Source organism: Homo sapiens, chromosome 6 (genome assembly GCF_000001405.40).
Source record: "Homo sapiens chromosome 6, GRCh38.p14 Primary Assembly".
In the NCBI taxonomy this organism is placed as follows: domain Eukaryota; kingdom Metazoa; phylum Chordata; class Mammalia; order Primates; family Hominidae; genus Homo; species Homo sapiens.
Genome location: NC_000006.12, coordinates 49,368,828 through 49,381,312, shown reverse-complemented (window position 1 = coordinate 49,381,312; position 12,485 = coordinate 49,368,828).

Sequence of the window (12,485 nt, the reverse complement as noted above, 5' to 3'; positions counted from 1 at the left end):
ATATACACCACGGAATACCATGCAGTCACAAAAAGGAATGAGATCATGCCCTTTGCGGGGACATGGATGAAGCTGGAAGCCATTATGCTTAGCAAACTAACGCAGGAACAGAAAACGAAACACCGCATGTTTTCACTTATAAGTGGGAGCTAAACAGTGAGAACACACGGACATAGGGAGGGGACCAACATACACTGGGGCCTCTGTTGGGGAGTTGCGGAAGGGAGAGCATCAGGATAAAGAGTTAATGGATGTGGGGCTTAATACCTAGGTGATGGGTTGATAGGTGCAGCAAACCACCATGGCACACATTTACCTATGTAACAAACCTGCATGTCCTGCATATGTCTCCAGGAACTTAAAATAAAATAAAATAAAATTTAAAAAATAAGAAACTACCAAACCATTTTTCATGGCTGAATTGCGTTACATTCCTCCCAGCAATATTCCAGTTGCTCTACATCTTTGTCAGTACTTGGTATTTTCAGTTTTAATAAGTATGTGGCAGCATATTTATGTGGTTTTAATTTGCATTTATATTTACTTAATGACAACTGATGCTGACATTATACATCTTTTCATGTGCTTGATTGCTATTCATATGTTTTCTTTTGTGAGGTTTCTGTTAAAATTATTTCCCCATATATTTATGGAGATGTCTTCTTATTACATTTTGATAATTGCTTATATATATATATATATATATTTAACAGTCATATATCTGATATACATCTTGCAAATATTTTTTCCTAGTCTAGGGATTGTCTTTTTTATTTCTTAATAATGCCTCTCTCAAGAGTGAAAGTTTTTAATTTTGATGAAGCCCAATTTATAATTTTTTATTTTATGGTTCTAGTTTTTTGTGTTCTCTCTAACAAAACTTAGCTTATTGCAGGTCACAATTTTTTTTCTGTGGTTTCTTCTATAGGTTTACCAGTTTAGGTCTATGTTCCATTTTTTATACCTCATGAGATATGAATTGAGGTTTCTCTTTTTGCATATGATTGTCCAATTGTTGTAGCAGTATTTGTTTAAAAGATATCCTTTATCCATTGAATTGCTTTGGAACCTTTGTTAATGATTGATTATATATGTGTGTAAGTCTATTTCTGAACTTTCATCCTGTTTTATTAAGGCATGAAAAATGTAATTTTGCCAATATCATTGATTTATAGAATCATTTTGCTAGTACTATACTCTATTGTATACTGTGGCTTCAGAGTAAATATTAAAATCTAGAAATTGTAGTCCTGCAAGTTGGTTTTTTTCCTTGAAATTGTTTGACTATTTTGTGTCATATGCTTTTCACATATATATACTTTTTTTTTTTTTTTGAGACAGCATCTCACTCTGTCACCCAGGCTGGAGTGCGGTGGTGTGATCTTGGCTCGCTGCAACCTTCACCTCCCGGGTTCAAGCGATTCTCCTGCCTCAGCTTCCTGAGCAGCTGGAATTATAGGCACGCGCCTCCACACCTGGCTAATTTTTATATTTTTAGTAGAGACGGGTTTTTTCCCGTCTGTTGGCCAGGCTGGTCCCGAACTCCTGGCATCAAGCGATCTGCTGGCCTCAGACTCCCAAAGTGTTGGGATTACAGGCATGAATCACCACACCCAGCCCCACTTTTCATATAAATTTAATAATTAATTTAAATATTTCTACTAGAAATCCTTCAGGAATTTTGATTTTGAACTTTTATATGTGTTTTTTATTATTGTTATTTTTTGCTTTATTGAATTGGCTAAGACCTCCAGCAATTCATTGAATGAAAAGTGTTGAAAGTGGACATCCTTGTCTTATTTTTGATCCTAGAGGTATTTCAAAATTTTTGCAGAGAGTCTAATGTTAGCTGTACGTTATTTGTAGACTTTTTCTTTAAAAAAATAGAGACAGGTTCACCCTTTTTCACCCAGGTTGGAGTGCAGTGGTGTGATCAATGCTTGACCTCCTTGCCTCAAGTGATTATATTGTCTCAGCCTCTCAAGGGATTCTCCTGCCTCAGCTTCTCAAGTAGCTAGGACTACAGGTGCCTGGTATCACACCTGACCTAAACTTTTCTAAAAAATCAGATTAAGGGCCAGGCATGGAGGCTCACACCTGTAATCCTGGCACGATGGGAGGCCAAGGCAAGTGGACGGCTTGAGGCCAAGAGTTTGAGACCAATCAGGTCAACATGGTGAAAACCCATCTGTGCTAAAAATACAAAAATTAGCCAGGTGAGGTGGAGCACACCTCCAATCCCAGCATACTTGGGAGGCTGAGACATGAGAATCGCTTGCACCCAGAAGACAGAGGTTGTGGTGAGCTGAACTTGCGCCACTGCACTCTAGCCTGGGCAACAGAGCAAGACTGTCTCAATTAAAAGAAAAAAATTAAAAGAAAAAATCAGATTAAGGAAGTCTTATTGTGTTCCTAGTTTGAAAGTTCTCTGTAAAAATTATGAATGGATTTTAAATTTAATAAAAAATTTTTCACATCTATTTATATATACTATTTTAATCTTTATTCTGTTAATATGGGAATTTGCGTGGTTGATTTTTAAATACTAAACCAACTCTACTTTCTTATAAGTAACCCTATCTGGTCATGATTGAACATTGTTCGAGTTTACTGCTAATATTTATTATGAGACATTAGTATTCATTTTCTCTTCTTGTAATGCTCTTTCCAGTGTTTGGTATAAGGAATATTCTGGCTTAAAAAATTAGTTTGGAAGTATTTTATTCTCCTCTATTTTTTGTAAGTACTTGTTTAGTATTGAAATTATTTTTTCTTAAAGAAGATATTTTCTTTCATATTGGAAGACATCTTTCTAAACTTTGCAGCTGTGTTGACTTTCACTTCTACATGATTTCTTTTTTCTTCTTCTCCTTTTTTTCTTTTGAGATGCCATCTTACTCTGTCACCCAGGCTGGAGTGCAGTGGCGTGATCTTGGCCCACTGCAACCTACGCCTCCTAGGTTCAAGTGATTCTCCTGCCTCAGCCTCCCAAGTAGCTGGGATTACAGGCACACGCCACCATGCCCGGCTAATTTTTGTATTTTTAGTAGAGATGGGGTTTCACTATGTTGGCCAGGCTGGTCTCAAACTCCTGACCTCAGGTGATCCACCCACCTTGGCCTCCCAAAGTGGTGGGATTACAGGTGTGAGCCACTGCTACTGGCCACTACTACGTGATTTCTAACAACCTGTTTGGATTCAATATTCTTCTTGCACAACTATCTGTCCTTTAGGAATAATGTGACAGTAAGAGTGAAAGTGCAAAAATATAGTCAGTTGTTTCATATCATTCACTAAAAGTAATTGTTCTCATGCATGCATTTGGGAGCAGTCATCTTAAGAAAAGTTTACTACAGTCAAATGTGTCTGAAAGACATTGTTCATTATATCTCTTTCTCAGAAGGCAGAACACATGTAGTACATTAGAGACGTCACAAGGTCCTGAAGAAATGAATTTAACTTTGTATAACCCAAAGGTTTCCAATATATTTCTCCTAGAATTCTTTTTACTTGCACAATACATTTTAAAATCACTCAGAAACGAATGCTCCATGTACAGCAGTTTGAAAAAGCATGGACTAGAAAGTACTGAGACTGAAATTCATTAAGCTAGAAAAGAGTTTAATAAAATAGCTTCTCCCAAATCATTTCAGGGCTGCTCCATTTCAGCAACATTTCTAATCTTTAGCTATATTCCTTGGTGATGTTTTACAGTATGATGTCCAAATTGCATGCATTTTAAATTTCCATAAAGTGAATCTTAGTCATTTTCCTTGTAGAAAATTAACAGACTAAAATTAATTGTTCATCAATCCGGAGTCTTCCTCCCACTCCTTCTCTCCTCAATGAAAGAAGAAGGAGCTGGAAATGGCATGTTTCTTAACTGATTATCTCAACTTTAATCATCCTCTGCACTGGAAGGTCTGATGCCCACAAGATACTTTCACTGTTTTCAGTTATGAAGAATGGTCATTTGTATAATTTTGCTGGAGAAAAATTGCTTCTATATACAAAACCCAAGGAAGAATATTGCATCTGTAATATCTAAATACATAAGTAACCTCTTTTTGTCCTAGAATCTTAAAAATTGGCCTTTTTTGATTTCCAACTTTTAATTTCAGGGGCACATGTGCAGGATGTGCAGGTTTGTTACATAGGTAAACATGTGCCATTGTGATTAGCTGCACAGATCATCTCATCACCTAGGTATAAAGCCCAGCATCCATTAGCTATTCTTCTTAATGCTCCACCCTTCCACAGGCCCCAGTGCGTGTTGCTCCCCTCAATGTATCCATGTGTTCTCATTATTCATCTCCCACTTATAAGTGAGAAGATGTGGTATTTGGTTTTCTGTTCCTGAGTTAGTTTGCTGAGGAAAATGGGTTCCAGCTCCATCCATGTCCCTGCAAAGGGCATGATCTTGTTCCTTTTTATGGCTGCATAGTATTCCATAGTGTATATGTACTACATTTAATTTATCCAGTCTAACATTGACAGGCTGGATAAAGCCACAATTTGCAATTTTTTGATAAGAGTTTTCTCCTCAATTCCTTCCTAATTTTACAAATTTATAAAAATGAGTTCTAGCATAGATTTTTAAAATTCACAATCTGTTTGAAATTACCAAATACATTTATCAACTTTCAATCAAGGTGAACAGATTATTCTAATGAATTTTTTTTCTCTAAGTCTCTGCACATTTTTCTCTCTGAGGAAGAACAATTATGTCAGGCTTCTGACAAGCTTATGACTGACAATTGATTAATATTATTTTTAGTGTGTTTCCAATGCTGGTCTATGATGTGTTCTGTCATAGAAACTTTACTTTTCTATATCTTCAGATCTTTTTTCCACAATCAAGAATAGATACTTTGGGATTTTATTTATTGCACACCTAGTAAACTGGCTAATCTGGTATCTTCATAGGTTACGCATATCTAATTTAAGGGATAGTACTTGTTTCTTTCATGCAATGAAGACTGCAAGAATATTATATATTTTTAAAATTCTTGTATGTTTTTAATTGATGAAAAATGTCTAATTAATTATGTATAGATTGCAAACTGAATTACTGTAAACTCCTTAAGGGTGTCAACTGTATAACCTTAGCAGTCAAGCAGAATGCTGGGCACATTTAAATGGCTCAACAAAAGTGTCAACAGATGATAAAGGAAGGATGATTTTCTGAAAAAAATATTACCAGTATTGCAACCTTGTGCCATATCATGCATCACTGGGCATTAAGAGACAAATGAGAAAGCTGGGATTGAAATATTAAAGAGATATTAAGAATTGACATCATTGTCCAAGCAAGAGAGTATATTCAAGTGGAAGTAGGATATTAGGCAAGAATTATATTTAGTAATCGCAAATATAATTCAAGATAGCAAGGGCTACAGCCAACAAGCAAGGCAGTCAGATTGACATTTCTTTAGCCATTTTTCTTAATTTCCAGACAAATATAAATCCATCCTTTTTGATCATGGTTGGAACTCACTGTTTTTTTAAATTGCATGAAGTTGTGGTATCCTACAATTTTATAACAGTCTTTGTTTCTAATACACCACTTTCAAGCTTTCAATGATTTGCAAATGAAGAGACTACATATATTTCTTTTGACAGTGTCTGAAGTGTTGGTATAATGCTTAACAGGAGTCCCTCATCAAGTGACTATTTTACATAATTGAATTATCTAACTAGAATCAGAGGTGAAAAGCTATGACACAGTGAAATGTGAAATTATTTTGCAGATCATAAACAGCTTTGCAAGTATGCAATACCATCATTATGAGTTCAGCAATCTGTCAAAGAAAATATTAATACTGGCAAAGAATTTACCTACAGGGTAACAGAAAATGAATACTTCTTATTGATCATGTTTCTAGCAAATTATTAAAACAGCATAATTCAGAGCATCAGGCACAAACTAATTTTGTGAATAAAGGCCCTTAGGCCACATCCTCTCTATTAAGGAAAGCTGGCCAACATTCCAGATGTACGGTTAGTTTTTAATGGGAGGGTGGTGTGAGTAAGTGGGGGATCCTGTCTCAAAGAAGTCAAGTGACATTACCCGACACTCATGCATTGACCTTCCATGAGTGGCATGGTATTGTATTTATTATAAAATGGCAGCAGGTTTTCTGAGATTAAGTAGAAAAATTGGTAAGTATTTAACTACTATCTAGTGACACAACTCTTTAAAAACATCAAATAGAGAACTGAGGCCAGAAAAATAGCAATAAAAAGTCAGTTTGAAAATTTTAAAAAAATCTTCAAATAAACAGCATGAAAAGAAGGAAACTGGGAAAATAAAATCTGAGATATACTGAGTAAAATACCTTTGGATTGAGTAGAGCTATTAGCGGGAAAAAAATAAGGCAAGAATTTGAATGAAGCTCATAAGAACTGAAATGCTTGGTTTTAAAAGTTGAAAAAAGAGGCCTTTTAAAATATTCTTAGGTAGCTGATTATGAATTAAAGAGGAAACATCACATTGAATCTAAGACTTTCTCTTTATAAAGGGAATGAAAGCTTAGCAGATTAATATTAATGAACAAACTGAATGAATGAATAAATGAATGAATGCCTACTCTCTATACACAGGTGTAATTTTAATTAGCTGTAAGAGTTAACTTGTCAAGGCCTGTGAGATTGTAAACTAGTTGAAATTGTTAGGCTTCCTCTCCATCCTTTTTTTCAAGGCCTATTTTTCCCTTATCCATTGTATGTGACTTTTAAAAAAAAACAGACTTATCCTGAACTTTCAAAAATGCAACTAAATAATAAACTCACTCATGATTTCTTCATTCAATAAATATATTTTGAGTATCTATCATGACCTGACACTGTTTCAGGTGTCTGTAATTTAACAGTGAGAAAAACAGATAGGATATCTGACCTCATGGAGCTCATAGCTTAGTCTAGGAATTGTATATAAAATAAATAATTTCCTAAATGAATATATAAGTATATAATTATAAACCATCATGTGTACTGTATTAGTCAGAGTTCTCCAGAAGGACAGAATTAATGGAATAAAAGAGTTTCTTAGGTATTTAATGAGTTTATTAAGTATTAACTCACACGATCACAAGTTCCCACAATAGGCCTGCTGCAGGCTGAGGAGCAAGGAGAGCCAGTCCAAGTTCCAAAACTGAAGAACTTGGAGTCTGATGTTCAAGGGTAGGAAGCATCCAGCATGGGAAAAAGATGTAGGCTGGGAGGCTTTCACATTTTCTGCCTGCTTTATAATCGCTGGCAGTTGATTAGATGGTGCCCATCCAGATTAAGTGTAGGTCTGCCTTCCCCAGCCCACTGACTCAAATGTTAATCTCCTTTGGCAGCACCCTCACAGACACACCCAGGATTAATAGTTTGCATCCTTCAGTCTCATCAATTTGACACTCAGTATTAACCATCACATGTGCTATGGAACAATATGATTTCTGTGAGAACATATGACTGGGTTGGTTAGGGAAGACTTTCATAAGAATATAGTATCTGAGAGAGAGCTGAAGAATTAGCAGATAATAACTATTTGGGGAAACAGGCATTCATAATAATTTATGGAGAGTGTTTTAGGCCAAGGGCACAAAGAGTAGGGCCTAAGAAGCATGTTAAAATACTTGCTTATTAATGAATTATATTGTATTTTCTCAAGGATTGTTTTTATTTTAATGGAGAACTTTTCCCCTTCTTTGACTGTATTATAAGTGATCTAACAAATTTTTCTCATTATAATTCAAGCAGCTTAGAATTATACATGTTAAAAATATATAATAAAATGCATAATTATATACATTATTTTATAATTGTGAGTGGAAAATCGTTATCTCAATTTCCTAAAAATACTTATTATTGCATTGTTATGCATTAAGACATAAATTTCATACATGTGCACACACACTTTATTTTCTCTAAAATGGTTTCATACTATATGCAGCAATTTGCAACTTGCTTTTTTACTTAACAGTATGACTTGAACACTTTCCCTGCCAGTATGTATAGTCATTATTCATCTATTTTATGTACACATGTCATTCATATACATATGATATGTGAATATATAAATTCATAAATGTTAATACGTATGATACATGAATTCATATATAGTATATATGTGATGTGTGAGATATTGTTACATATATACTGACTATATCATGATTTCTATAACCACTGTTGTATAAATGCACATCTAGATTGTTTACAAGGTTTTTTTATTTTGGGTGATGCAGCCAAACATATTCTTGCACACAAAAGTTTTTGGATCTGTATGAGTAATTTTTTAGAAAAAAGTTTCTGGAATTAGAATTACAGCTTCAAAGTACAAATTTTAAAAATTTGACAGCTATTATAACCAAATTCTATTCCTTTACAAGAAGACTTTTTATTAGCTAAAATGTACAAGGATAGCTTGTACATTTTCTGCACACTTGACAAACTAAATATAATTATCTTTAAACTTTTAACAGAGGGCTCTGAAATCGGAAGCATCTTCTGTACAAAATTGACTGCTTTTATAATTCAGTAGGTAGTATCATTGTTTGGATCAGGATATACAAAAAATAAAAAGTGGTAGGTATTGTGCCAAAGTAGAGAGGGCTTGCCTAGTATGGAGACATTCAAATTCGAATCCAAATACCACCACAGCCAAATGCAATATAGACCTGGGCTGGAGTCCATCAGCTGGAACTCACAGAAGTAAAGAGTCTCAAGAAGAAGATAACTGGTCCCAATTGTTCATTGTCCTTAAATCATTACAATTGGCTGTCCATCCAACATCTCATATACAGAAGGTGGGCTTTGTCTCTGAATCAGGCTGCTACACCCACAAATATGAAAATTCCTTGTTAAGAATTGCGAGGTTGGAATTTCACTTGCTGACATCTTAGAATGTGGTAAATTTTTTCTTACTCCTAGAGCAGTCAATCAACATAATAGAGGAAAAATAATACATATTTAAAGGGATCTATTATGCTTCAATTAAATTGCATGTTCAATAATGAAACAAATGGCCAGGTGCGGTAGCTCACACCTGTAATCCCAGCACTTTGGGAGGCCAAGGAGGGCGGATCACTAGGTCAGGAGTTAGAGACCAGCCTGGCCAACATGGTGAAACCCTGTCTCTACTAAAAGAATACAAAAATTAGCTGGGCAGGGTGGTGTGCCCCTGTAATCCTAGCTACTTGGGAGCCTGAGGCAGGAGAATTGCTTGAACCCAGGAGGCCGAGGTTGCAGTGAGCAGAGATTGCACCACTGCACTCTGGCCTGGGCGACAGAGCAAGACTCGGTCTCAAAAATAAAATGAAATAAAAGAAACAAACACTTTAATAATACTTACTCTGTATAATGCTTTGTACAGATCCAGCATATTAACTAAGAAAATGGATTAATTACCTTTCCAGTAAAATTCCATGAAACTGATGAGTTTTTAAAAATTCTATTCCTTTTTGTTTTGTAGAAACATAATATAATGTTTCAAATGACGGTGTTCTGTCTTATGAATTGATTGAATTCAATTCATTCAAAACATTGAAAAGTAGGACTGTTTTGTAGATTATTTGAAAAAAATTACTTTCAATGCATGAATGTTTTCCCAGCCTAGAACATTCCCTCTCTATTGTTCCCAAACCTAGTCCAAACTACATCATTGACATATTTGAAAGCCATAAGTATGAGGAACAGCTGGACAAGTTACTGATCTCAATGAATACATTTTCCTGCTTTGCACCCCAATTCTTTCCCTGTTGAGGAGCCTTAAAAATTTTCTTAGCCAGAGGAAGTAAGAGATAAAATTTAATTTTCTCCATCTCAGCATATCTACTTTAATGAGCTCCCCAGGCTTCTTTCTAGATTTGCCTAGATAACTGGATAATAACAAGATTAAAAAAATTTTACCTGTGGATAAAATCATAAAATTGGTAAAATTGGATGGGAGAGTCACCTGTAGGGGCAGTGTTAACTTCAAAGTCAGTGGGTGGGTCTGTGTTGCCAATTCATCTCAGCCATTTGTGGATGACTTCTGGTCAACTAATAAAAACTGGTTTGTTGTGTGCATTAGATGAGATAGAATGTGTACGGCACCCAGCACTGGGCCAGCACATAGCTATTAATAAATGTTACTGGATAGGAAAAGATTAAAACAATTTTTTTTGTTTCTTTCTTTCTCTTCCCTGTGGATAACCACAGTGGTTCTGACTCCCTATGCAACTGCTCCATTTTCCCTCTCCACTTTCTATGCAGCCTTTTGAAAGAATGGACTTCTCAGTGGGAACTGGTCTTCTGTGAAAGATTCATGAGGACTGCATTCAAAACAACTTTATACCCATGCTTTCAATCTGACACATTGTTTCACTTGACAAATCTCTCCTTTTACCACTCATATTGTTTGATATGGATCATCATTATCATCATCTTCTGCAAGTTTGGAGAATCTCCTAACCTCTCTCCTATCCCCTCCAACCAACTAAAAAGCAGCTTCTGGCAGGCTAAAAAGTCAGGTGATCATGTCCATATTAAAATGGTGGTTATCTGTTTGACAGACCTATGGAGCTCAACATGCACAGCAGTATTCCAGTGTAAAGTGGAAATGGTGCATATGTGATTAGATCTGAGCAAATCCAGAAGGTAGAAAAATAAAAGCAGATGACTCAAACTGTCATGGTATTACTTTCTACTGCTTCATTGCTTCTCCCTCCACTCGTATCTTTGAAGTAGGACTAGTTTTTATCTGTAACTGTATTGTATATTAGCAGAGTTGATCCAGGAAGTAGTGAGGAAATCCTTTAAATAGCGCTTTAGATTGTGCCTTTGGTCATTTACTTCAAGTGGGCAGAAGGCCTGAGATACAAATCTACAGATTTAAGAACAGAGGCTAATATATTGCTCAAATGGTCAAGAATATGGAAAGAACAAATATTGTAAACTTTACAAGGGATGAGGGGTATATAGTAAGGGTATAGAGAGTGTGATGAGATCTATATCCCATACAAATGTTTATCAGAGGTCTACAACTGACTAGAGGGGTCTCCAAGGCACTCTTTCCAGATTTTCCTTCAGGTTTGGGGCCTCATTCCCCCAACTACTGGTCATGTTGGCCACCACTGATAAATCATGGCTGTTTCCTTCTCTTAGAATTACCCTGAATGATAAGAACTGACTCACTCAAGGATGGCTTCCCTGTCCAGGGGCAGACCACATTCAATTACTAGTAAATGTAGAGGTAAAGCCCCACCCCTCACCTTAATGTAATTTCACTTTGAAAGCCCCCAAATAAAGAGCTCCCTGTGGAATCAACTGAGGCTTCTGCTTAAATTGTACTGTTTTTTCCTTTTAGAGTTACCAAAGCAGGCTGGGTATGGTGGCTCATGCCTGTAATCCCATCACCTTTGGAGGTCAATGCAGGCAGATCACTTAAGGCCAGGAGTTCAAGACCAGCCTGGCCAACATGGTGAAGCCCCATCTCTACTAAAATACAAAAATTAGCCAGCTGTGGTGGCACGCACCTGTAATCCCAGCTACTTGGGAGGCTGAGGTAGGATCGCTTGAGCCCAGGAGGTGGAAGTTGCAGTGAGCTGAGATTGTGCCACTGCACTCCAGCCTGGGCAACAGAGCCAGACCCTATCTCAAAAAAAATTATCAAAACAAAACTCCCACAGATAAGAATAACTCTTAAATATTCCCTAAGAGTTTCATTTCTTTGTTTGTATTATTCCATTTCAAGTTAACAAATAACAAGTATATTTGATAATTTGATTGATTATGGACAGATGTGTCTCAAATTTGAGTAAGGCTGATCTAATGGCTCAAAAGACATGTGGCTACCTATAAATGAATAGCCTTTTATTTATGAATTGTAACATAATTTGTAAGGACTTGTTTTCCAGAGTTGGCAAAAAAAACAAGAGAAGTTTTAAACATGACTTAAGGGAGGTTGTCGCCAATGCAGTAAGAAATGTTGATTCCAATCTGACTGAGAATTAGAGATCATAAATATCCATCTGGCTACTCGGAAAGTTGAGCTATTTACCTTTTAGCTGTCATCATCCGTGATGAACATTCCCAGGACTTCAGACAAGCATTTGCATTATTAGTGTTAGGACAGACTCTCAGAGCTTCTGAGATCCAGACAATTGTCACATGTGTATGAAGAAAGATTAAAAAATTAACTGAAGAAGGATTTTATGAAAGAGAGTGAAAGGAATGTCAGCTACCACTATTTAAGATGCTTTTTAAGGATGTTCCTTTCTTTCTTTGACTCTGTATTGGAGCCAAAAATTTTCTGTATGAGGGTGTTTTATGATGGTTGCTACAGTTCCAGATCACATTCCAGGCATAAAGTCCTGGAAATGTTCATTGCACATGGTGCACCTTAGGGAGCTCATGGGAGGGATTCTCACTCTGTATTAACTTATACTATTGTATTTATTTATTTAACTTTTAAGTTCAGAGATGCAGGTTTGTTACACAGGTAAACTTGTGTCATG